At 37.9% G+C, this 26,630-nt stretch overlaps 2 protein-coding genes across 9 annotated transcripts in view, besides 4 other annotated features; one reads left to right on the plus strand and one right to left on the minus strand.

Moving 5' to 3' along the window:
- Positions 103-17,610, plus strand: BAG2 (BAG cochaperone 2). Of its 3 annotated transcripts, none has more exons than XM_005249490.5 (4): positions 647-1,238; positions 1,980-2,172; positions 9,809-9,918; positions 11,555-17,610. In XM_005249490.5, exons 2-4 carry the CDS (start codon positions 2,159-2,161, stop codon positions 11,965-11,967), a joined length of 537 nt encoding a protein of 178 aa, XP_005249547.1. In that variant the 5' UTR covers positions 647-1,238; positions 1,980-2,158; the 3' UTR covers positions 11,968-17,610. The 3 variants fall into 3 exon arrangements, with proteins under 3 accessions (NP_004273.1, XP_005249547.1, XP_011513301.1); XM_011514999.4 differs by having other exon boundaries at positions 2,068-2,172; NM_004282.4 differs by lacking the exons at positions 647-1,238; positions 1,980-2,172 and adding an exon at positions 103-587.
- Positions 116-195: a silencer, noted in NCBI's record as "silent region_17302". NCBI's record gives its function as "represses an Ori minimal core promoter by ATAC-STARR-seq in GM12878 lymphoblastoid cells {active_cell/tissue: GM12878}" and the evidence as "EXISTENCE:reporter gene assay evidence [ECO:0000049][PMID:35858748]".
- Positions 246-515: a silencer, noted in NCBI's record as "silent region_17303". NCBI's record gives its function as "represses an Ori minimal core promoter by ATAC-STARR-seq in GM12878 lymphoblastoid cells {active_cell/tissue: GM12878}" and the evidence as "EXISTENCE:reporter gene assay evidence [ECO:0000049][PMID:35858748]".
- Positions 246-1,007: a biological region, named in NCBI's record as "H3K27ac hESC enhancer GRCh37_chr6:57037271-57038028".
- Positions 250-1,007: an enhancer, noted in NCBI's record as "H3K27ac hESC enhancer chr6:57037271-57038028 (GRCh37/hg19 assembly coordinates)". NCBI's record gives its function as "activates a minimal SCP1, AML or CMV promoter by ChIP-STARR-seq in primed H9 embryonic stem cells {active_cell/tissue: H9 hESC(primed)}" and the evidence as "EXISTENCE:reporter gene assay evidence [ECO:0000049][PMID:30033119]".
- Positions 14,769-26,630, minus strand: part of RAB23 (RAB23, member RAS oncogene family) — a 35,316-nt gene continuing 23,454 nt past the window's right edge. For 5 of the 6 annotated variants that reach the window (NM_001278666.2, NM_001278667.2, NM_016277.5 and 2 more), the window contains exons 4-7: positions 24,227-24,383; positions 22,547-22,629; positions 21,619-21,711; positions 14,769-18,377 (exon numbers count right to left, since the gene is read on the minus strand). In NM_001278666.2, the coding sequence (NP_001265595.1) occupies positions 18,238-18,377; positions 21,619-21,711; positions 22,547-22,629; positions 24,227-24,383 (473 nt within the window). In that variant the 3' untranslated portion in view covers positions 14,769-18,237. The remainder of the gene's footprint in view (positions 18,378-21,618; positions 21,712-22,546; positions 22,630-24,226; positions 24,384-26,630) is intronic. The other variant, NR_103822.2, reaches the window with a different exon arrangement.

Genomic DNA, 26,630 nt, shown 5'->3' on the forward strand with positions numbered 1-26,630 from the left:
GGTTACTTTTAGGTTGCATGAAGAGGCGGGGCCTCGCGGGGCGGAGCTGGGGGTGGTCTGTGGGTCCGCGCGGGCTTCGGGTAGTTCCTGGGTCCGGGGAGCAGACGATCCGCTAGCCACATTAGGCGCTCGGTCTCTGCGTCCGCCCCTCCCGTGCCTCAGAGACTTGCGCTCCCCAGGCCCGAGCCCCTGTCGGCCCATCCTCGAGCCCGTGTGGCTCGCGAACCTCTAACTCCAGCCGCTGCAGCCCCCTCCCAGGCCCGGCGTCCCCGAGCCCCGCGGGCGCCGCGCCTGCCCTTCTTTGGCTACGCTGCAGCCGCGGTGTCGGCGAGTCCTCCCGGGTTGCCCCCGCGGGCGTCAGAGGGAGGGCGGGCGCCCGCGTGGTGACGGCGACGCCTGCAGCCCAAGGAGCGCTCCACTCGCTGCCGCCGGAGGGGCCGGTGACCTCTTGGCTACCCCGCGTCGGAGGCTTAGATGGCTCAGGCGAAGATCAACGCTAAAGCCAACGAGGGGCGCTTCTGCCGCTCCTCCTCCATGGCTGACCGCTCCAGCCGCCTGCTGGAGAGCCTGGACCAGCTGGAGCTCAGGTGAGCTCCGGGCGGGCGGTCTCGGGCGTTCTGCTCGCCGCGCGGGCGGTTCGCGGGCGGTTAGCGGACGGAGGCCGCGTGTGGCGGGCCGGGGCCTGGGGCACAGTGAGGCTGCGGCAACCGAAGTTGCTTGTTGAGATTTGTTGTGGATGGACGTGGTGTAGTTTTGTTTGTTTCTTGGATTATCTCCCCTAGTCCGAGAGAAAACGCATTCGATTTAAGCTAAACCTGTGAGGGCGTTATCGGTGGCCACACTTTGATTAATTTACCTAGGTGTTAGGGAGCGGAAAAAAATCAGAGGAGATAAAAGTTACAGTGAGATTCCATGCGATTAAGGACTGTGGCAGCTTGGGTCTGCAGAACTTCTAGAACCTTCTGTGTGGCCCCAAACGTTTTAACTTACTCTTCTCGTTATGCATTTTTTAAGGGAGGCAGCAGTTTACAGTGGCCCTCCACGTGAAGTTAAGTTTCCTTGCTTCAGAACAAAAATGAATAAAACAAAACCAACCCAGCAATCCATTGAGAGCAAAGATTAGACAGGAGTGAGGGGTAGGCAGTAAGTTACCGGGTGCTTCGTGCAGCAGAGACGTTGCCGCTTCTGTTTCTCCCCTAACCTCGCGGACGGGATTCAGCGGTTCCGTTCGTCTCTCGGTATTTATTGGGCACCTCCCTACATAGAAGACTAAGTGCTAGTTACTGGCCTGAAAGCATGAAAAGATAGTTTTCCCCTTTTCTTGCTTAAGAATTTATTTGGTAATACAGTAGTAGACTTGTATAGAATTTCTAAACAATTTAATGTTAATAGATTTTTGGAAAGACTTTAACGGTGTATTGAAAAGTTTTATCTACTTCCTGTGAACGTTTGTCTCAAGTTACTGTGTAAATTTTGTGAGCAGGTGTAGTTAAAAGAAAATCTTGTTAGGCACCTGCAATTCCGTGAAACTGTACACAGGAGTTGGTTACATAGTTTTGTCTAGGTTGTGCATGAGCAAAGAAGCATGTGAGCCAAAAAGTTTAGGAAACACTGCATGTGTGTCTTTATCTTCCTACATTAATACACCCAAACATGAAGTATCTGTTTGCTGAGAAAATACTTCAATAACCACGGTATCTCTTAACAAGTGAGGCATTATTATTGTTACTATTGGGAGAAAAGAGCCAGAGAGTGAGAGATTCTCCACTCAAAATAATTTCTTGGATTATTAAGCCCTACACCAGGTTCTGGGGTTCCACTCAGAATGAGGCAAGTGGAAGAGAGAAGTAATGCTTCCTCATGGATTTTCACAATACTGGCAAACCTGACCGTTCCACTCCCAGAAAAAGTAGAGCGAAAGTAGAAATTGGTGGCCTCAGTTACTTGAAGTCCCTCTAACTGGTAATGTTTCTTTTTAGGGAGCCACATAACAAGTAACACACATCTCTCCATGTCTTCAGAACGTTGAGGGCATGTTCTCAACCACTTCATTCTCCTCTCCCTTAGCCAGAAAGAAAAGTTTTCCTAAAGGAATGGGGAGGTTGTTACTCCACTCCGCCTTCCTTCAAGCTGAGTCATTGTCCTCCAACTTGAATTAATGCCTCACATGTGGTAGGTACAAAAGCACTCTGAAGTGCTCCTCTTTAAAAGAAAGCCTCAGGTTTTGAATATTATTATATTCTACTGTTTGATTAATGTAAAATGAATTCTGATTGCACATCAGTGATTAAATTACAACTTGCTTAATTAACATTTGAGCTGAGGAGAAAAGTGATTAATATGTGGCTGTTCATTTCAAGGACTTTTTTTTAGTAATTCTGGACTTTTGTAGGCCTTTTTTCTTCTTTTTAAAAAAGTAATACTAGCTGAAAAGGAAGGATTTCCGAAGGTAAGCAAAAATAGAGAAAAATGCTAATGTAGATCCTATTAAAGTTTTTTTTGAAACCACATGGGCAATGGCACTGAACACTATTAAAAACTAGAATCATGCGTAGAAGATCGATTTTTAAAAGAAAACATGAAACTCATATGTAATTTTGCTCTAATAGTTTGATTTTGTTGACTAATAAAGTAGTGTAACTGTGTAGAATAAAACCTTATAGTTTGTACTTAGAAGTGTGCACTTAATGTTCCCTAACCACACTGATCCTGTCAATTGTGGAAGAAATTTCATACTTTATGACCTGGAGTATGAACTGATCTACATGATGTTTAAAATGTTTGGCAGCAGTTTTACAAACTGTTAAAGGATTTCCATTTATCTCTAATGGAATTTATCAATACAGTAGCCCTTTTTTTTGGACTGCATTTTGTCTTCTGTATTTCTTCCTTCTACAGAGGTGATTCCCTTTTCTCCGTTTTGACGATCAGTTCTAAATGGACTCTGAGTTTTGCATTCTTCAGTGGCTCAAACCATCTTGCTTACTATTGTTACTTTTTAACAATTATTGTAATTTGTAAAAAATACTATGATATTACGATTCTCTCTCTCTGTATATATACAACGTTTTCCTGGCTCATAACTCCCATAACCCTTGTTACAGTCTTATGTTATAGTTCCTGGCTCATAACTCCCATAACCCTTATTACAGTCTTACGTTATAATGTTGGGGTGCTTTAGGCCTCAGGAAAAAGAATCTCTCTCTCTGACCTTCTTTCACCTGCCTTACCTCTAGTCTGATTGTGGGTCAAAAGACTCTCGTTCCAGAGAGGGTCCTGCCCTATGCCCTGGAGGAGGGCATTTAGCACCCAGAGGCCAAGAAGAATCTGAATAGACTGGCCTTGCTGGGTTTCCCCATTCAGTCTGTTAGAGTGAGGGCATACTCTTTTTGTCCAATCACTTTTCTACATGGTTGTCATTCATGCTTATATAAAAGAAGCAAGCCTCCATAAGAACCCAAAAAGGACAGGGTTTGGAGAGCTTCTGGATAGCTGGACATGTGGAGGCTCCTGGAAGGTGGTGTGCCCCTTCCCCCTGTACCTCACCCTACACATCTCTTTATCCATGTCCTTTGTAATACCCTTTATAATAAATCCGTAAATATAAGTAAGTGTTTCCCTGAATTTTGTGAGCTGCTGCAGCAAGTTAAACCCAAAGAGGGGGACATGGGAACCCCAATTTGAAGCCAGTTGGTCAGAAGTTCTGGAGGCCTAGACTTGCAACGGTGGAGGGTGGGGTCTTGGGGACTGAGCTTTCAACTTGTGGGATCTGATACCGTCTCCAGGTGTAGGGAGTGTTGGAACTGAGTTGGGGGATACTTAGCTGCAAATCCCCCACATATTTGGTCACAGCCTTCTGTGTTGTTACAGTGTGAGAGCAGAGGAAAAACACAGTGTGAGAGTTTTTTCTAAAACACAGGCTAATGTTTATTCATTTAATGTACACGGACTATGTGCCAGGCCCCATGTCGTTGTTACTATTATCACCATTCTACAGATAGGGAAATTGAGGCTTAGAAGCTTAAATGACTTGTCCAAAGTCACACAACTAGAGAGTAGTAAACTCCAAATTTGAACCCAGGAAGACTGGCTCTCCAGGCTCTAATACTTTATGCCTGAATTTTCTTAAATATATCACATTTCAAAATATAGAAATGATATATGGATGAATAGATGAGCTTCCTCTAAGAGATAAAAATTCAATCTAAATTGGCCTTTAATTCAGTGGATATTGAACACCCACTATGTGTTAGGTATTGGGTAGCTCCTAGAAAGCTCAAGATGGTAATGAAGATGTTTGGGGGATGGGTTTTGGAGACTGGCAGAGGGGAAAATGATAGGACTGGGAGATTGGCTTTTCATATGTTTCCCAAAACTTATAACACAGTGGCTCCTTCTGCCTTCCTGTCAGCCTTTCACTGTGGCTTAACCTGCACCCAGGTAGTGAAGGGATGGGGTTGGGGGTGATAGGGATCATTCGTCTGGCTTAAAGTTTCATGTTAGGGTGTGCCAGTGTTCTAGGAGTCACAAAACAAGATGGCATCATAGTTAATACTGTGTGACAGCCTGTAATTTAAAAGAACACTTCATATATGTTATTTGAAACTTTAAGAACCCTTCGAGTTAGGTGGAGGGCACATACTCTCTCTCCTAGAAATGAGGGAAGTGAGGTCCAATTAGGATGAAGTGGCTTGCCTGAGGACATGCTACTGAAAAGTGGCTCTTCACACTAAAAACACTAGTCCCTTCTTTTACACCAAAATGTCTTGACAGTAAATGTAATTTAACATTTTGGTGATTAGGAAAACACTTCAGAATTTTACATTGCCTAAAAGTGATCATTATAGCATTCTTTTGATATAGGAGTATGGAATAAGAGACAGAACTATGAGTTTTAAGAACCTGTTTTAGGCCAGGCGTGGTGGCTCACTCCTGTAATCCCAGCACTTTGGGAGGCTGAGGTGGGCAGATCACCTGAGGTCAGGAGTTTGAGACCAGCCTGTCCAACATGGTGAAAACCATCTCTAATAAAAAATTCAAAAGTTAGCCAGACGTGGTGGCGCATGTCTGTAGTCCTAGCCACTCGGGAGGCTGAGGCAGGAGAATCACTTGAACCCTGGAGGTGGAGGTTGCAGTGAGCTGAGATCACACCACTGCACTCCGGCCTGGACGACAGAGTGAGACTCCATCTCAAAAAAAACAAACCTGTTTTAGAAATTATTTCTTTCAAATCATGGTATGAGCATTTGCCATTTTCCCTCCTTTTTATGAAAGCACAAATTTTCATCATTAATAAATAAGCCCACATTCATAATGGTAAGAATATAATAGCTATTAATACTATAAATATATGCCAGTGCCAATTCTAGACACATTATACATATTAACTTGTGTGTGTGTGTAATTTTTTTAGTCAGTGCTATCAGTCACTGTTAAACTCTACCTGCTTTACTTCATTTAGTCACAAGCACTGTTCCCTTATCATCCCTGTTTCATAGGCGACTGACCCATTTGCACAGCTAGTAGTGGCAGTGCTGGCGCAGTTTTCACTGCATACTCTATTAGCTGACATATTAATAGTAGCCACAGTTTGCGCAAAATTGCTGTTGTACTCCTCCTAAGTCTCCCAGCAGTTTGCCGTTTCGATACTGAGACTGCAGAGGTTTGTGAGGTGCCCAAGACCTGGGTACTAGCTGAGGATGCATGCGCTCCGGTTTTGTCTTCCTACTGAGTACTCTGACTAAAATTTCTTTTTGTCAAAGCCTACTTAGTTGTGATTTCATGCAGGGAGTTTTCCAGGAGCACAGCCCAGGCCAGCCTTGATGTGAGGAAAAGTTCTTTCCCAATTTGGACGTGTAGCTGCTTCCGGGATCTGTTAGTAAAAACAGAACTGCCCTTCTCCGCCAGAAGTGTTGCCAGATGAGATATTAAGAAACATGAAGGATAAAGTGAGATGGTCCAACATTTCTCTAACCAGAGTTCCAGACGAAAATAACAGAAGGGGAGACAGGGAATATTCAAAGATACAACAGCCAAGAATTTTCTAGAACTAATGGAAAAATTGTAGACAAAAGACGTGTATATGAGTTTAAGGATAGCAATAGCTGACAAACAGTACAAACGTTACTTAAACTAAGTAGAGATCTAGGTTCAGCTTTTTAAAAGAAAAAATGTAAAATATGAGGTAGACATATTTTAGACTGTAGAGTAAATGGATGTACCAGGGCCAAAAGGAGCATGAATTGCCTTAAGGGAGAGGAAGGGGGAAGCTAAGGAAACAATTCCTGCTGAAGCAATTGGGTTTTGAAAAAGGTGATCCCAGTAGACAAGGGTCAGGGAGAAAGAATGCTACCTGAAGAGGGAATAGGACATGAAAAGCCCATGTTGCCAAATAAACCCTGAGATCTTTACATTTTGAAGAATGACATTTTACCCTTGCATGAAATGAAAAAGGTATACATAAAAATGTATATAAGAAGTTCTATAAATGATGAAATCTGGTTTTCACAGGGATAATGCCCTGGTAATTTCTATTATGTATTAAAAAAAGCCTTGTGGGATGGGGGTGGGGGAGGGTCCCTAAAACACAAACTTTAGCAGTTCCACCTAACTATTTGGTCTCATTTAATGATAAAATATTTTCGTCATATGACAGGCTTATTATATTTTTTCTAGAATGTCTTTTTTATCTATTTTGTTAAGAACATGAACTTACTGCTGTAACTCATAAATGAAACCTTCCTTTTCAGAATAGCATTGTTCTCTCTTATCATCTTACAATTGAATACAAACCGAAAAGGTGTTGAAAAATTAATCTCTTCTTTCAGCATCTTCTCATTTATCAATCACATGATTCACCTGTGTCATTTGTCTAAATATTGGAGTCATGGTTTGTGCTTTTAGCATAAATATTTAGTGCCAACTCCGTCTCTTTCCTATGTTCTGGGCCCTAGTTTATCTTTCTGAGAGATTGCTAATGTAAAATGTTTAAGTAAATACTGAATGGTCCTGGAATAGGGCCTGATACTTGCATTACTATTAGTTAGTAGAATATTTGTATTTTGATTGTGTTCTCTAGCCAAATTTGTCACATGCGATTCTTCCCAGTTCTTTGCTTTTACTGGCTCTTATAAACACACTTTGACATATATTTAATATCTTGAAGAATAAAGATATCCTGTGATTTTACAGCCTGTCAGTACTATTTTGGGGTATAACAGGTGGGTAACCGAAGGGGAAAAGGCATGTGTGTGCTTAGGGCAGGGAGAGGATCCTTTTATGGAATTGAACGTGCTAAAACATTGGTGAAGTTGTTCTTTCTGTGCACACTTAAGACAGCAGTTAGGATTAGATCTTTCATGAACTTGTATTTCTAAGACCATCCAAATACTGGGAATAGGTCTGTCACTTTCATTTTGCAAAAGTTGGCATCTTAGTTACTGTAATTCATAATAACAACGTTCCCTGGAAGTATAGAACATGTTAAATATACAATATATATTTCTTTATTTTGCCCTTATTCCACAGCTTAGTTTTTTAGTGACTGGGTATATTCATGTGTGTGTATAGTGTGAGTGCATGTGTGTGCAATTGAGTGAAGTGGGAAAGTAGTGCTTCTATAGTTTGATCAGGGCTTTACACAAAAAAGCCACAGAGATTTTCCCTTAAATTTGGGAAAAGACAAAGATACCCCCATGATTGCCACTGTTTAATACAGTACTGAAGGACCTTTTCTTAAAAAAAAAAAAGTAATAGGATTGGGAAGGAAGAAATAAAAACTGCAGATGATATGGATATGATTATTAACCTAGAAGAACCAACAGAATCAACAGACTGAACACTAAAATGAATACATGTAAATCAAGGTTGCCAGTGACAAGATAAACCTACAAAAACAGCACTTCTCAAACCAGTAAAAATCAAGTAGAAAATACAAATTCACAATAGCAGCAATATCCACGAAGACTACTATGAAGAATACATGGGAACTCTATAGATCTGAATAAATGAAGAGACATATATCATGCCTTTAAACAGAGAGATGTTATAAAGATGTCTAATTTCTCTTGTTTTTTGAGAAACACAATAAACTTACCCTAGAATTTATATGGAAAAGTTGGAGAAGTAAAAGTCCATAAATAGCTAAGTTATCTTTAAAGAAGATTGAGGGACCTGCTCTATCAAATATTAAAGTGTAGTACAAGGCTAGTGCTATTAAAAAAAAAAACCCAAAACTTGGCACTGGTATAAGAACAGTTAAATACACTAATGCATGGCATAGAGATTTTAGAGATAAATAGCGAATATACATTCGCTAGGGGAAAGATGGATTGCTTGGTAAATAATGTTGGGGAAAATGGCTATTTGGAAGAAAAAAACAAAACATTCTTACCTAACTGCATGCAGGGGTTGATGCTAGGTGGATTAAAGACATAAATATAAGGAAGGTAGAACTATAAAGTTAATAAGAGAAAATATAGGAAAATAGGACCAAAGGGTGGGGGAAGACCTTAGGTCAAAACTTCAAAAGCATACGCCATAAGGCAAAAAAAAAAAAAAAATTGATCGCATCAAAATAAGAGTCTCTCTTTAGTGCAAGACATCCCAGACGTGGTTCATATATGAGAGGATGAGAGATGGTTGCAATGTCTGTAACCAACAAGAATCTCTTGAGTATACAAATCAACAAGGGAACAGTAACTCCTGTTTAAAAATAGAAAAGCAAAATAGGAAAAGTCTATGAATAGGCTAACAAGGATACAAAGAGATGTCTGAAATTATTAGGAAAACACAAGTTAACACTGACATATCAGTGTATTTCTGTCACACTGGCAGCAAATAGAAAGTTGGAAAATGCAGAATGTTGGTAGGGATATGGGGACCCCTGTGCTTTGCTGTGGAGAGTGGATAGGTACAGGTGTTCTGCAGAATAGTCATAATACTAAGTCAAAAGCAGAGTACACATACCCTTTGTCTTAGCAGTTCTGTCCTGGTATATGTCCTAAGGAAATCCTCACCAAGGTCCAAAGGGGAGATGTATTCATAGAAGTGTTATTTGTAGTAATGAGAAGCTGGTAGACAACCTAAGTGTCCATCTCTGGGAGAGTGGAGAGGGAAAATCAGGTAGGTATACACATGGAGTATTATACAGCAATTAGCAGCAACTGATTAGAAGTACACATAGGGGGCTGGGTGTGGTGGCTCACACCTGTAATCCCAGCACTTTGGGAGGCTGCGGTGGGCAGATCACTTGAGGCCAGCAGTTTGAGACCAGCCTGGCCAACATGGTGAAACCCCAGGAGTTTGAGACCAGCCTGGCCAACATGGTGAAACCCCGTCTCTACTAAAACTACAGAAATTAGCCGGGCCTGGAGGCTGAGGCACGAGAATCACTTGAAAGCGGGAGGTGGAGGCTGCGGTGAGATTGTGCCACTGTGCTCCAACCTGGGTGACAAAGCAAGACTGTCTCAAAAACAAAAAACAAACAAAAATCTAGCAACCTGGATGCTAAGTGAAAAAATAAAAACAGAATGAGATATAAATTCAAAATATACAAATAATACAGATCTTGTAAAAAACAAATAGTATTAATTAGATAAACACGAAAGAATGATTGCCTTATGAGCTGGGAGGAAAATGGGAGAAAGGCAAGTGTATAGAAAAATGAAAGAATTTTAAAGCAGAAATGAAGAATTTTTGAAAAGTTTGGTGATCTTTAAACTTGATTTGGGTTGAATGAGAGATAAAGAAAATTAATAGGAAGAACATCCTGCATACAATAACCGTTTTGTTTTCCCAATTTCTATAGGGTTGAAGCTTTGAGAGAAGCAGCAACTGCTGTTGAGCAAGAGAAAGAAATCCTTCTGGAAATGATCCACAGTATCCAAAATAGCCAGGACATGAGGCAGATCAGTGACGGTGAGAGCCATCTCCACAGAAGGGGCTCATCTTTTACACTCCTTTAAAGAGTTTATGATAAGTGTGGGTCAATTTTTGCTTGACTTTTGGTATGCGTACACCAGGCCACAGCATTTAATGTGAGCCACAGAGAGCAGCTGCAGCTGTCAGTTCATTACAGCAGCCACTTACTCAGAGATTTCTTCCAGCATGCTCTCTACCCCAAGCCCCTGGCTAGGAGAGATAGGAAAAAGCCTGCAAGCTCAGAAAAGCTGGCCCCAAGCAGTAAGGCCATGTGTTTTATCCCAGGTTCACAGTCCTAACTTCAGTTCCTCACAAGTTACTGGACTGCAAGAGATTAAAAAAGCAGAGGAAGAGGGTGAGAGAGTGGAAGCAGAGAAGTAGAGACCAAAAAAAAAAAAAAAAAAAAGATGAATTGAGGTACAACATAAAGAGAAGGGACAAAATGCAGAGAAAATGAGGAAACTTGTAGGACCAATAAAAGGCATGAATGTAAAAATGTGCTGTCATTTTCTTTTTTCTTTTTTTGAGATGGAGTTTTACTCGTCACCCAGGCTGGAGTGCAATGGCGCGATCTTGGCTCACTGCAACCTCTGCCTCCTGGGTTGAAGCGATTCTCCTGCCTCAGCCTCCCGAGTAGCTGGGATTACAGGCACGTGCCACCACGCCTGGCTAATTTTTATATTTTTAGTAAAGACAGGGTTTCACCATGTTGGCCAAGCTGGTCTCAAACTCCTGACCTCAGGTGATCCGCCTGCCTCAGCCTCCCAAAGTGCTGGGATTACAGGCATGTGACATCTGCCTAACCTGTGCTGTCATTTTCATGTGAAGAACATGAAATAGGAATAGGTCACTTCTGATTTTCTTTTATTGGCACTGGACTTCCTACTTGGGCTCCTTTGGTGCCACACAGGCCACATGGTACTGGGCCAAGTGGCTGGTGAGGTAAGTAAGCAACCTAAATCCAGATCAAAACTGTTACACATCTATAGGTAGGCCATGATCTAGTCTCTACGCTATCCTGCCCAAAGATCAATGAATTAGGAAGTTACAGAAGCAGGAGCTTGCTGACTTTCTCATATAAATAATGAAATGTTGATAGAGCTCCTCGTGCTGGCCAAGACTTTAGACCACTGTCCTGCTTCTATCTGGAGAAGGATGAAGTCAGTGCCTAGTATTGACGACAGAAGACAGCTTATCTTCTATCGTGGCTACATTTTCTCAACCAAAATTTGGGGCATTGTATTCTGATAAATGCACATGTCGTTCTGGAGAGATCTGGGACATCTGATCTCTGGAGCTCTACCCAGCATAAACCCTATATGTGCTTACTGCTCACAGTGTTAAGACTTGATCTCCATCCCAGTTACAAATGCATACCTACCCAAACTTTTGCAGACATGCCAATTTGAGAAGTCATCTGGTATCCCATATATGCAGATTGTCAGGAAGTGGTATTCTACAACCTCTTTCTGTAATCTAATACATTTCATCAGTTAATCTTACATGCTATAGTTTCAGCTTTTATCTCTAAAAAAATTTCATGGCAGAGGTAAAGAAAATAATAAATTTAGTCACAAACAAATGCCTTAATGTTTTTGACACAGATAAGTTTACATCTCATATTGATTTTTAGGAGAAAGAGAAGAATTAAATCTGACTGCAAACCGTTTGATGGGAAGAACTCTCACCGTTGAAGTGTCAGTAGAAACAATTAGAAACCCCCAGCAGCAAGAATCCCTAAAGCATGCCACAAGGATTATTGATGAGGTGGTCAATAAGTTTCTGGATGATTTGGGAAATGCCAAGAGTCATTTAATGTCGCTCTACAGTGCATGTTCATCTGAGGTGCCACATGGGCCAGTTGATCAGAAGTTTCAATCCATAGTAATTGGCTGTGCTCTTGAAGATCAGAAGAAAATTAAGAGAAGATTAGAGACTCTGCTTAGAAATATTGAAAACTCTGACAAGGCCATCAAGCTATTAGAGCATTCTAAAGGAGCTGGTTCCAAAACTCTGCAACAAAATGCTGAAAGCAGATTCAATTAGTCTTCAAACCTAAGAGCATTTACACAATACACAAGGTGTAAAAATGATAAAATACTATTTTAATTGATAACTAGTTCTTTGTTAGGTATAACCACTTAGTTGACACTGATAGTTGTTTCAGATGAGGAAAATATTCCATCAAGTATCTTCAGTTTTGTGAATAACAAAACTAGCAATATTTTAATTATCTATCTAGAGATTTTTTAGATTGAATTCTTGTCTTGTACTAGGATCTAGCATATTTCACTATTCTGTGGATGAATACATAGTTTGTGGGGAAAACAAACGTTCAGCTAGGGGCAAAAAGCATGACTGCTTTTTCCTGTCTGGCATGGAATCACGCAGTCACCTTGGGCATTTAGTTTACTAGAAATTCTTTACCTTAAGCAGCACACACATTTACTACACACACAGTGTTAACAAAGCACTGTGCTTAGAGGGTAAAAAGGAATCACAAAACAAGAATCTTTCCAAAGTTGTCTCATTCAGCAATGTTAAGGCATCTGTATCAAATTATTTTGGATGTAAAGATTCCTGTGTCTCATAATATGAATGTATTTTTTGATATACAAGAAACTGACATAAAATGTGAGAAAACCACCTATAATTTACCACTGTGAACAATTATATATCTATCTGCTTCATCTTTTCTCAAATGCATCAATTCTCTAAAATTCCTATATTGTAACTTGCCTTTTTTTAAAAAAGTTAGATGCTGATATAAAGTCTGCTTAATTGTCAACTTAATGAGCTCTATTTTGTGTAGTTATATCTTTATCCATTCCTCTTTTATGGACATTTAGGTTGTTTCCAACTTGTTGCTATTACTGCAACATATTTTTGTACACAGGACTTTTTCCTTCTTTCATTTTTGTTTTTCTCTGTATAAAGGCCCAGCAGTGAATTATATTGGGTCAAAGGATATAGACGTTTTCATGGCCTCACACATATTAAACTTTTTTTGTATAAAGGTTACAGCAATTTATACTTTTTTCAGTAATTAAAATATAGCTATTTCACTGAAATATTTCCAGCACTGAGCATTAATACCTAGTTTGCATTTTGTTTACTAAAAAGGTTGACCAGTGTGTTGATTCTTCTTTTATCTGATAAAGTGTGAAGCAACTAGAGAACACTTATTTGTTCAAAGTAACTAGTCCTATTGATATACAAAAACCACAACAACTTCCCTGGATACTATTTTGAAATGAACACATCAATTTTTATTTGAATGTAGGTATTCTTCACACTGAAAAACCAAATCAAGATCCAAACTGACTTTATGTATGTATATATCTCTCAATGCAAGCAATATCAAACTTCATTTTCTCTACAAAAATGCCAAGTTAGTCTCTTTATAAAAAGCAGTTACAATCTGAAGACATTCATGTTACTTCCTTTGCCAGCTCCAACTCTGCCTTATTTAAATCTTTGCATTTCATGGGAAACATTAATTCTATCTATGGCAGAGCCACTTGGTTTGTTAGCAGACTGATTTGCTGTCATCAGACTGTGAGATGATTTTTTGTGTGCATCATTTTTTTCTTGACCAGCTTTTTGAAAATTAAGAAATGGATAGTCATGTTTTCTTCAGGTTCTCAAGTATTGTCAGCATCCGTAAATCCCTTCCACTCTGGGAAATACTACTGCTCCCTGCTTCCCATGGCTTCCACATCAGTCCAGGACTTTTTCTACACAAATTATTCTGGCTCTGCCTCCTTGACCTTGGTATTCTTAGCATTATTTTTCCCATTTTTTTGCAATGGAGTTTTTAATGGAGGTCATTGATTTCTGATCACAGACTTGAAGAGCTATGATCCACATTTCCAAGCTGCTTGGGGTCCCTGGTTTACAGTGTCTCCAGCATTCTGTACCTAGAGCCACATCTAAAGGGCAGGGAATCTCCAGTGTGGTTTTTTGTTTTTTTGTTTTTTGTTTTGGAGTCTTGCTCTGTCACCCAGGCTGTCTGACAAGTAGAAGACATATCCACTGTAGCAAGGAACACTATGGAGTATATGAGTTAGGGAAAAGAGACTGTGAAGGGAAGAGAACAAACATTTTGTAGACGTTTGGTGTTGAATATATGCTATGGAGGCAGTTTCTATAGTTTCATTTACTTCATGAGGTTTCATTTTTTCTTTTCTGAGATGGAGTCTTGCTCTGTTGCCCAGGCTGGAGTGCAGTGGTGTGATCTCAGCTCACTGCAACCTCCACCTCCCGGGTTCAAGCGATTCTCCTGCCTCAGCCTCCCTAGTAGTTGGGACTACAGGCGCCCACCACCACGCCCGGCTAAATTTTTGTATTTTTAGTAGACATGGGGTTTCACCATATTGGCCAGGCTGGTCTCAAACTCCTGACCTTGTGATCTGCCTGCCTTGGCCTCCCAAAGTACAGGGATTACAGGCATGAGCCACCACGCTTGGCCAATGGGTTGGTTCTTAACATGTATTTTTATTTATAAGAATGGGAGTATAATTTATTTTCAAATGATGATGAATCTCCTGAGTCACATTTTTACCCTCATTTAAACTATTGTCTTTTATATAGACTATAAGTGGATATAGAGTATGTTTTGCTGTATCTCAATTCTCTACCATTCCTAGCATATAATACATAATTTTAGGGTAGCCCTCCTGCCATTCCTTGTTAGCACTACTTTCAATAAAATGAGAGTATTAAATATTGGCAGAGTATCTGAAATATGAAATAATTTTAGGTTGCTTTGATCTTTAAAGAAGTTGCATTATATATTTTACTATTTAGATCCACACTGTTGATACAATCATACATATCACACAAAATTTTAGCTTTGAAATGCATTTATTTTCTGATTATTGGAATTCATCCTTCATGAAATTTTTAGAGTAGTGTTTTAAATTAAGCTCCAGAGTGTAACTGCAACCAAATAGCAATACATACAAGTGGTTTTCCATTCAAATTTACAAAAGCATTATTTATTAGTAATAAAAATATAGAAGGAATTCAGTTTTCCTTTTATCCCCAATTTTTTGCTTTTAAAAGACCATTTACTAACATCCTACTGTAGATATTTCGAGAGACAGATGAAAATAATAATAATAAAGATTATTATAGCCAAATCATCCAGTTAGCCAGGAGTTTGATGACTGGATATTTCAGAGTCTACTGCGGGTTTTAAATATTTTGTTAGCAAATGAATTCATCTGTATGATGAGAGACTTACATGTTTTATAGCTGAAAACCTAAGGAGTGACAATAGTACATGTGACATTCTTAACAGTTAAAAACTGAGTAAGTCCTGTTCATTAGGTAGGTGCCATGTGGAACAAGCTTTCACCTCATCAATGCATTTTGTTTTCAGAGAAACAGACTAATGATAGATTAATGGGAACATTTTATCAGGTTAGCAGTAACTATTTCAAAGGTTTTGAAAAGTATGCTAATAATTAACAATATCTTATATTAAAAGGGTCCAACACTAAGTTGGGACATTAGGTCCTAAGGCCAACTCCCTATTCTAAGGTCTTCAGAAAAGGTCCAGTTTCCTAAAACTCACAGGTCCAAGGAGTACATGTTATTTATTGAGAGTTCCTTCTGAGCACTGCACTGCCAACTTCTAAAGCAACCACCTAGAACTTCACTCCATAATGAGGAAAAAGTTTTCATCCTCTTTTTGGTAGTTTTAGCTTTATTTTGAAAAAGTAACGTGTGCTATCAACTTTGGGCAGATACAAAGGAAATCATTTAACCTGGTTTTATTTAACTATATTGCCTTATATGGGTCATTCTATATACTATTTAATTCATAGACAGAGACTGGAAAAGGAAAAGGAAACCTGAGGAACTCTGAAATATGGCAGTTATTCCACAGCGATATGTCTACGCAAAAGATTAGCCGTAATGTTAAAAAAGTAGATTAGAGCACAAATGCACAATCACCTGGAATCTTGGAAAAGTTTTTCTTTAGTATACATGGTTTCATAAAATTAAAGTTATTTAAGAGAATGAAGGGTCTTGGAAAAAAAATGTCAATTTTTGAAGGCTTTAAGAATTGATTAAATTGAGAAATTAACATGGCTGACTTTCAGGCCTACTTAATTATTTTAAATGACTAATTATGGTTAGGTTTAAAATACAGCAGTGCAAATTAAAAATTCAAATATGTAACAAAGCTCTCTCTTCAGTTCTTATTTAAAAAAAGATAAAACTAGGTACATAAAATTATATTACAGGAACTGTAACTATCCTCAGAGATTACTTTTTTTAAATATAGAAAGGTAACACGCTTTTAGCCACACAGCTAACATGAAAAAGAACTAACTAGAACACATATAACAAGTGATTTTTCTGCCAATAAAGACAAAAGACTATTTGTTGCAAAGTATTATTTTGTGCAAAAATTAAAGAGGAGAGTAGAGAGTAGAAAATTGAAGAGAGTAGAAAAGATGACTCATTAGCAGTATCCACTGTTTGTTAGGAACTGAATTTTGCCCCCAAAACCTATGTCACTATCAGCAATGGGAGTGGTGACAACTGGTGACATAAAAATAAGCATTTTACATTACTGTGAAATAGATAATGCCAGATCATTTCAATATAATGAAAAGCAAAAATTTACTTTTTAATTTTTTTTATTTTTCCATCTAAAATGGCAAAGAGAACATTTACTTTTGATCACTTAACAAGGACACACCCAGGAAATTTGATTTTCTCAACATTAGGAGGATGAGGGGAGTACAGATGGAAAAACAAAAGATAAAACACAAAAGGAGTACATAAAACATTGTTTAGTACAAATAATGAAAAATGACTTCATGACATTTTCCAATAAAAGTTATTTTTACAGATTTTGCAATGCTGTAAAAACCAGGTATATTGAAAGGGGTTATTTATAGGTTAAAAATAAAGCCATTGATGAGTGATAATCAGTTTTAACAGAGTTCACGCAATTATCTTAGCTGGAAAGCTACTGTCCCAAGTGACAAAATTTATGTCCTGACACATGATTACATATTAAATCATTTTGTAAAAGAAATGATTCTGTATGTGGGACTGACAGCTCTTGAGAAAGTGCTATACAAACAAGGTTATAGAAATGTTGAAGTGATTGATAATCTTAAAATACCATACAAAAATGTGTAAACAAAAGGATGGTTTAGAGTTGCAGGGCATTATAAAATATGTAATTTTAGTTAAGACTAATAATAATATTTTTGTGCACTTTAAAAATGGTTAGTGTAATCTTGTAAGTTCAAAGCTGGGTTCTCAGTGAGCAGCAAAAGGTGTTAGATGCATCACCACACTTCACAGGACCTCCTGAATGACTGCAGATGTGCTGTGTACCTTCTTAAGGGGCTTTGGCTGACCTTATGAGAGCAGGAGCTCACCATGCTTATGGGTGACTATATCAAAAAGATCTGCAATAAGGCTCACCTGGGAGATGCTCTAGCATTCAAATTCCTATACTCCTCTTTTATCTACGCTGTCAGATGAAAACTGCTTACTGCTTTTAAAAGATATAATAAACAATATAAATTCTGATAGTAAAGCACTATAAAAATTAGGTATGATATTTTTGGCACAAAGCACTTTTTAAACCCAAGCTCATTTTGCAAAATATATGTCTAGAGTTTATCATTTGAAAATAAAAACATATACACAATATGTAAATGGTTTTATAAGTGAATTAATTAGAATGTACATTTTCTTAAATACTGCACATACCTTCAGCTTACTCCAGTACCAGACATCTGCATGCACACCCCACATTCTACATTACACAGATATTGCACAAGTTTCAATGCCAAAATACTAATGCAGTCTGGCAAGATTTAGGGTTTACCTTTCAGTATTATTTTGTGAAAGTATTCAGATTCAATACTATTTCGCAGAAAAGCTACATGACCAATTTCAGGAAAAGAATGCTTGCTATCTTTCCTTGATCCACAGTATTAAAATCTGTAACAATATATTTAGGCATTTCATTTATGTTTTCCAGCATTTAAAATTCCGCAAAACCTGTGTTTGAAATTTCTTATAGCATTCCTTTACAAACAGGAGAAGCTTCGTCTAATGTAAAAAAAATTAAAGGAGTCCACAGGGCAATAATTTTTCCACCAGAGGTCTCACTCTACATTCTGAAAAGCACTGCAGAGCAATATTTAAGTCTGTCACTTTCAGAGAGCCATTAGGAGCAAAGTCTGCTGAAAACCTTGTAACATACCATGACAGCTGGATGGGTTTCTTAATGCATTGCACAATGTAATTCAATTGTTTTCCTCCCAAAACATCTTAGGGTATGCTACAGCTGCTAAAAGGATTTCTGTTTTTCTTGGTCCTTTGTTTGTTGGGTCTAAGATTGATGACATCTCCACCATTGAGGGTACCTGAATTCTGACCGGAGTGACTTCCACCAGATGTATTAAAGACACCTGTATAAATTGAGGGAAAAGAGTGATTGCCACTGACACGCCTGAGTTACCTGTTGCATCCAGCTTGTTAGTAAAATCAGTAATATTTTCAAGTATTTACAGTTTCTCTAAAATTGTAGTAAAATCCAACAAAATTTAGCATCTTAACCATTTTTAGGCATACGGTTCAGTGGTATTAAATACATTTGTAATGTTGTGGAACAATCACCCCCGTCCATCTCCATAACTCTTTTCATCTTTAAAACTGAAACTCATACCCATTAAACAGTAACTAACTCCCCATTCCCCCTCCCTGCAGACCTTAGCAACCACCATTCTATCTTCTGTCTCTTATGATTTTAACTACTCTACCTTATATAAATGGAATAATAGTGTCTTTTTGGGACTGACTTATTTCATTTAGCATAATGTCTTCAAGGTTCATCCAACGTAGAACACTGAAGCATTTCCTTCCTTTTTAAGGGTGAATAATATTCCATTGTATGTATATACCACATTTTGCTTATCCTTTCATACATCAATGGACACAGATTTATGATTTTAAAGCTCTTGTTTTAGTTTTACTTTTAGTAGCTAATACGCATGGTACAAAGTTCCAAGGCTGTAAAAGAGGTCACATTAGGGCTCTTTTTTACCCAGATTTTCACCCCTTGCCAGTTTTCCCACCCCTAAGGTACGCATGTTATTACTTTTCCTACTTATCCTTCCAGATATAGTTTATGCATATATAAGCTAAAATGCATATATATTCTCTTTTCTACCTAAGTTGTGGCATATTCTACACAATGTTCTGCATCTTTTGACTTAACAATTTATCTTTGACGTTTGGAATCAGCAAATACGATAATTTTTATTTATTTATTTTTTGAAGACGGAGTCTCGCTCTGTCGCCAGGCTGGAGTGCAGTTGTGTGATTTTGGCTCACCGCAACTTCCGCCTCTTGGAGTCAATTGATTCTCCTGCCTCAGCCTCCCGAGTAGCTGGGACTACAGCCGCCTGCCGCCACGCCCGGCTAATTTTTCATATTTTAGTAGAGACGGGCTTTCACCGTGTTACCCAGGCTGGTCTCAAAGTCCTAAGCTCAGGCAATCCACCTGCCTGGGATTAGAGGTGTGCTAGGATTACAGGCATGAGCCACCACACCTGGCAACTACGATAATTTTAATAACTTACTAACTTCACATCATATCACTTCCTCAAGAATACCTTTTAGTTAACAACAGTAACAACAGTATTTCTGAGTTGTGTGTGTGTGTGTGTTTTAAGAGATAGGGTCTTGCTCTGTCACCAGGCTGGAGTGCAGTGGTGCAATCATAGCTCATTGCAGCCTTTAACTCCTGGGCTCCAGCAGTCCTGCCTCAGCCTCCTGAGTAACTGGGACTACAGGCACAGGAATGCCATCAGCTAATTTTTCTTTTTTTTTTTAAGAGACAGGATATTGCTATGTTGTCTAAGTTGGTCTCAAACTGTCGGCCTCAAGCAATCCTCCTGCTTCAACCTCCCAAATAGCTGGGATTATAGGCACAAGCAACCACACCCAGCTATTTGTGAGATTCTGTGTTAATACTAGTAAGATACGTTTTTCCTACTTATACTAAACCAGTAAAAAAGTGGCCCACAGATAAAAGTGATGAGTAGCTAAAAGATAAAGAACTTTATAGTTTCCATTTTGAACTGTGCTATTCACAAAATGTAATCTCCAATTTATGATATAGCATCCATGACACACAAAATTCTGGGCCAGAGATACTGTCAGGGATACAAAGGTGACTAAGACCAGTTCTCGCCCACAAGAAGTTTACAATGTAATAAGACAAGACAGTAAACAAGTAATGCCATATGACATTATATGTTAAGTGTCATAAAAGAGACACAAAATCTTACAGAAGTTTCAAAGGAAGGACAGATTGCATCTGATACATAAGAAAGGAAAAACTACATGAAGAAGGTAGAACTGGACACTTGGCAGTGCCCTGGGCTTAGATGTCTATTCTTTTAGAAGATGGAGGCTGGGCAGTGGCTCACACCTATAATCCCAACCCTTTGGGAAGCCGAGACAGGAGGATCACTTGAGCCCAGGAGTTCAAGACCAGCCTGGACAACACAGTGAGACTCTGTTTCTTTAAAAAAGAAAGAAAAAGAGTATGGAGGATGTGTCTTCAGGCAGGCAGATACACAACTGAAAACTTTCTAGAAAGGCCTTGAGGAATGAATTGTTCTTCGACAGAAGATGGGAAAGAGGTCATTCTCAATAGAAGAAAAAAAATGACCAAAAGTGAAGAAGAAAGCAAGCATGGGGCATACTCAGGAAAGATCAAGACCTCTGAGAGAACCAGTAAATGGGTTACATAGATGTAATGGTGTGGCAGGAGGCTACACAGAAGGAAGGGCAAAACCACCTTTAAATGTTGGATTGAAGAGAATCTGCATTTACTTTGTTCCACAATGAGTCTTATTAAAGCTTTAATCAGTAGATATGAAGAAGACAAAAGGGGAGCCAAGGAGATCACACCAGGTAGAGGCTTATTATAAGTGTCTTGTGTTCACAAAGCATTTGAGGTCTCTGATGGCAAGAAATTTTGCAATGAAAATGGCAAAGGCAGAAAAAAAAAAAAGCCAGAATCCAGGAAAAATCTAAGTTAAAACAGGTCCAGAAAATAATGTGTTTGTTTCTACATATGTAGTGAAGGGGGACAGAATACAGATATGAAGTCCTTAAGAGATTATACAAGTATCAAGATTTAGAACCAGCAACTTTGGCTCTCATTTTCCTGGAATCCAGAACAAGAAGAGAGACATCTGGTCAGGCAGTTATTGTGAAAGAGAACACAACACACTTGTTCTTCAGAGAATGCTAAAGTTTTGCTGGCATTTAACATAAGAAAAAGCAAAATCAGTAATGGGTAATAAGCAAGATAGTAAGAAAGGGAAAAGGTAAGAGCCAGTGTAAGTACAGATTCAGAAGAATAACTGTTATAAAGTTCCTTTATATAAAGGACAGATCTTTACAAAAAGTCTTTATCTCTGTTGTGTTTAATCTATCAAATGGATTTATAAAATTCAATGGCAAAAAAACCCCCATTAACACAATATACCTTTTAACAAGAGACCTGATACTTAAATCACTGACTTAATAGTTTAATAATCACTTTTAAATCACATTTCTGAAAGAAATGAGCATATTATATGTGTTTTTTAACTTTACCAAGTAAACATGGGCTAAAATTTCCTATGTACTTACCAATCTTGTTACTACTTGAATGCGTTAGTTCTGGATCCTCAGCTATTTGTTGTTTGAGTTTCTGAAGGTATTTTTCAGCCAAATACTTAAAAACTAGAATAAAAAGAAAACACCCAGAACCAGGTCAATGATTTATGCATGTAAATCTGTTATTTCACATCATTTGTAATATTTATACTTACTAAACAAATTTAAAGTTACAATTAGGAGCATACAATCTAGTTAAAAATTCAACTTTTAAAAATTATTTGGGCAGTATCTGAGTACAATGATAATATTAACAAATGTATAATGGTATTTTATTAGTAAATAAGTGAAATAATACTTGTAATGATTGGCTCTTCTAAGTATCTGAATAGTGATTAATACTAAGCAACACTAAACAGACTCACTCTTGAAAAGATGTCTCCTTTATGTGAAGAAAAGTATCCAAAATAGACATCCAAGAGAATATCTAGTTGCAATCTAAATAAGTGGCAATTCCAGAATGAGAAAAATAACTTACCATCTTTTTCTAATTTCACTTTCTTAAACTAGGAAATACTATTAAATTAAAGTATTAAATTAAATACTATTAAATAAACTAACTACCTAGTGGAATATCTACTATCATGGAGTTCTAAAACAACTGAGTTATTTTTAACAGGTATGCATCAAAACCACATATGCATATACTCTACATATATAGCTTACATTTTTCAAAGATAATAATAAAAATGGAAAACCTTACGAGGATGAAAAGTATTCAAGGGCATTAGTAAATAATTAAGCACTAACAAAAAGAAGTAGAAAGCCTTTAAATTCTACTTAATGTTAGGTGACAAAAAAATCTTGTTCTCGTTATAAATATAATTTCTAAACAACACAATTTTAAAAGCGCAAGAATAAAATTTCTTTTTGCAATCTATATCCTTTAAAGGTAATTTACCTTCATTCACATTTAGATCTTCTTTCACTGATGTTCTGTAGAATCTTAACTTTAACCTTTTTGCCAGTGCCTCAGCTTCCTCACTGCACATCAATTTAAAAAAAAATGCTTTACAAAGGTGCCTTCTGATAGCTTGTTTTTTAAATCACTTTTAATTACATTTACTGAATACAGTTTGGCAGGGAAGGGAGGGAAGGTGGATCAGATCTTTCAGAAAATTTTCATATTTCTTTTTAAAAGAGCTTGATATAATTTCCCAGTTAAGTAAAATCAGTTGAAAGCTATGTTTTCATTTAGTGCCTGTACTGATTTTAGTTTTCACTACTCTTGAGAAATAAACACCAACTGTTATACCGTATGTGTACATAGAAGACTTTTCTATAAAGTCATTAATCTCTAGCCCTAAACTAAGAAAATATCACTTTTCTTTGTATAATATTTTAATTAATTTTATCTCTTCCTGAGAACACCTGTAGTTAATTACACTCTGAAAATCTTACAGTGAATTACTTATTTTATTCTTACTGGCCATGAAACAATTTTGCTGCCTAAAGCCAAAGTCAGTATATTAATGACTACATCTCCAAATTGTACTCCTAATTTTAGTTTTATCAGGATTCCTGGTTGTGGACTCCTGATATTAATGTCATTAGAGACTGTTGTAACCATGCCCCATAGGCTCCCGCTATTTCTCTGGCTTCTGGTCTTCAGCCCCTTGTGTAGTCTCCTCCCACACTGTAATCAAGGTTGGTCTGGGTGTCCACTAATATGCAATACAAGGGACAGTATAAGACTGGGTCATAAGAAACACTGTGGCTTCTGTCTTGCTCTTTCTTGGATCACCCACTCTGGGAGAAATAGCTGCCGTGTTGTGAGAATAGGAGAGGCCCATCTGACAAGGAACTAAGGCTTCCTGCCAAGTGAATAAGCCATCATAGAAATGGATGGTCCAGCACCAGTGTAGCCTTTCCGTGAGAACAGGCCTAGCCAACATCTCAACTGCAGCTTCATGAAAAACCACCAGCTAAGCCATTCTCAAACTCCTGATCTACAGAAACTGTGATATAATAGATGTTTGTTGTTTTAAGACACTAAGTTTTGGGCTAATTTGTTACATAGCAACAGATAACTAACATAAGAAGACTTAAAAAACAGGTAAAAACCAAGCAAATATTTTCAAAACTGGCAAAAATAATAATACAATAAGTAAATATTTATGAACAGAAATTATCTGTTCACAAATTTGAGCATAAGAGTTCTGAATATACAAAACAATATGAATCTGAACCCTTAATTAAAATTCATCAACATAGGATAGTTACTTATTCTGGGTATTACAAAATCTAGGGATGCTTTTCTTAACATTCTTACCATATTAAGGTTTGACTTAACATGAAGAATTAGATTTCTTGTGCAAAGACCTGAGATTAGAATTCTAAAAGAGCCTTCAAATTTTAATCCTTTAATTTTATCTACTTAGGAATCAATGAATTTTTTAACCCAAACCAATCACATAGAATAGCTCACAGAAATTTTAGGTAAATTAAAATATTTAAGTCATTAAAGCCTTCAAAATGAAAGTATAGAATTTTTCCTAGAACCTGTAAAACTATGCAAAAATTAAGATGTCTTAACTTTATAGAATTACTGTCCCTCCTTCCCCAAAAGTAGCCATCTTACTTCTTTATACAAGAATCATCCAGAAGATCAATCTTGTTTTGCACAAGTACAGTTGGTATATCTCCCACTTCGGCTACTACTTTCTCTCTCCAACTGGAAACTGCTTCAAAAGATTCCCTATCTGTGGTAGAGAACACGAGCACACAAGCCTGGGCTCCTGTAAGTTCACAATCAATCAATCAATCAATCAAGGTATTTACATTAACATATTACATTTACATTAAGAAAACAATCTCATGAAGAATGGGGGCAACTTTTATCCATTCAAAACAACTTTTATGTAAATAAATGTTGAACTCATCTTTGTACTACTCTTCTTTACTTTTCAACATATAAACTCTATTTATGTTGAATTCATCTTTGCACTACTCTTCTTTACTTTTCAACATATAAATTCTATTTTCATTTTTACCAAAAACAGTGGTTCTCAAATGTGTTCAACTGTCAAAGTACCTCAAAAGCATACACATTCTTTTTGGAATACCATAAAATACTGATTTAATTCCATTATAAAAGCTAGAGAGAATGGTAAACTAAAATTACAGGCTGTTGCCAAATTCTTCTTGTTAATTTGCTTCTTAATTTCTTTCAGCGTAGATTTAAGAAAAATGTCATTTGCTTAATTTCTTTCAGCGCAGATTTAAGAAAAATTTATGAGAAAAAAATCATAATTTGTTCATTCTATTCACTTTTTAAATAAATTGTATTATTTTATTTCAGTAGAATACCAGTGATCCTAAGGAACATAATTTGAAAGCCAATGCCAAGAGTATATATATATATAATAGAGGGGTTGGGGGAAACTTAGTTTTACCCTGTTTAACTGCATAATTTTACCCACCCATATTGTATCCATTGACAATATTTTAACCATCAACTGTCATTTTAGGCTGATAATATCAAAGACTAAAATAAGCAGAAACCTCTTAGAAGAAGCAGTTTTATAAATTATTAGCTATTGATTCAGGTAGCATGGTGATAAAAGCAGGCATGTAAGCAACAAGAGAAAATCATCCTGGGGGTCAAGAGGATTTCCTGAAATCAAGGCATGTTTTCTTACCATTACTCCTTCCTTACACATCCCTCTGGTATAAGAGTTTTCTACTAAGACTCAAGATATGTCTGGGCTATCTAAGACACTCTAGAGCCAAAACTAGTCTGTATATCTATATATCACTGGGGGAATACTGTAGAAAGCAAAAGACCACAGAAAGAAAACAGCAGTTTGCTATTACTGTAAAAACAGAAGGTTCATTTGGAAAATCTTCCCTACCCTAAAAACAGGTTTTTTGTTTTCTGGTTTTCTTGAGACAAGGTCTCACTCTGTTGCCCAAACTGGAGTGCAGTGGCATGATCATGGCTCGCTGCAGCCTCGACCTCCTGGACTCAATCAATCCTCCCACCTCAGCCTCCTGAGTAACTGGGACTTACAGGAGGAGCCTGCCATCATGCACAGCTAATTCTTTGTTTTTTTGTTTTGTTTTGTTTTGTTTTTGTTTGTTTGTTTTGTAGAGATGGGTCTCCCAATGTTGCCCAGGCTGGTCTCAAACTCCTGGGCTCCAGCAATCTGCCTGCCTCAGCCTCCCAAAGTGCTGGGATTACAGGTGTGAGTGACTGTGCCTGGCCTAAAAACAGGTTTTAATCCAAATAATAAATGAATAATGCAAAATACAGAAAGAGAGAGACAAAGACACCCTGAGACCTTCTCAGAATTTAAGGGAAAATAAAACTGAAGAGATCACATTAGTATACCGATAAATAAACTTATATTTACTTGAGCTGTAATATTTACCTCAACTACAAATAAAAAAAATTATGTAATCATATTTTAAGAAACTGTGGATCATGAGGTCAGGAGATCGAGACCATCCTGGCTAACACGGTGAAACCCCGTCTCTACTAAAAATACAAAAAATTAGCTGGGTGTGGTGGCGGGTGCCTGTAGTCCCAGCTACTTGGGAGGCTGAGGCAGGAGAATGGCATGAACCCGGGAGGTGGAGCTTGCAGTGAGCCGAGATCGCGCCACTGCAAGACCAGCCTGGGCAACATGGCAAAACCCCATCTCTACAAAAAATACAAAAATCAGCCAGGCGTGGTGGCACACACCTGTAGTCCCAGCTACTCAGGTGACTGAGGTGGGAGGATTGCTTGAGCCTGGAAGGTTGAGGCTGCAGTGAGCTGTGATTGTGCCACCGCACTCCAGCATGGGCAAAAGGGTGAGACTCTGTCTAAAAAAAAAAAAAAAATTTGTTCTTTATCATAAAACTCAATGAATTACCTTTAAGCCTACAGCTTTATGTCCAGCTGTCATTTAAATTTGAGGGCACAATAGGGTATTTCCAAGTGTTCAAGGTCTCAGACACTTAACCAAAAAAACCTCTTAGAGGAAGCATATATGATGGAA

This window comes from Homo sapiens, chromosome 6, assembly GCF_000001405.40.
Source record: "Homo sapiens chromosome 6, GRCh38.p14 Primary Assembly".
In the NCBI taxonomy this organism is placed as follows: Eukaryota; Metazoa; Chordata; class Mammalia; order Primates; family Hominidae; genus Homo; species Homo sapiens.

Bases quoted from the DNA above. Each gene is read 5' to 3' on its own strand.
- BAG2 (NM_004282.4), top strand. From the start codon at position 475: ATGGCTCAGGCGAAGATCAACGCTAAAGCCAACGAGGGGCGCTTCTGC. The intron at 588-9,808 runs GTGAGCTCCGGG...CAATTTCTATAG, and splicing joins CTGGACCAGCTGGAGCTCAG to GGTTGAAGCTTTGAGAGAAG. The intron at 9,919-11,554 runs GTGAGAGCCATC...ATTGATTTTTAG, and splicing joins CATGAGGCAGATCAGTGACG to GAGAAAGAGAAGAATTAAAT.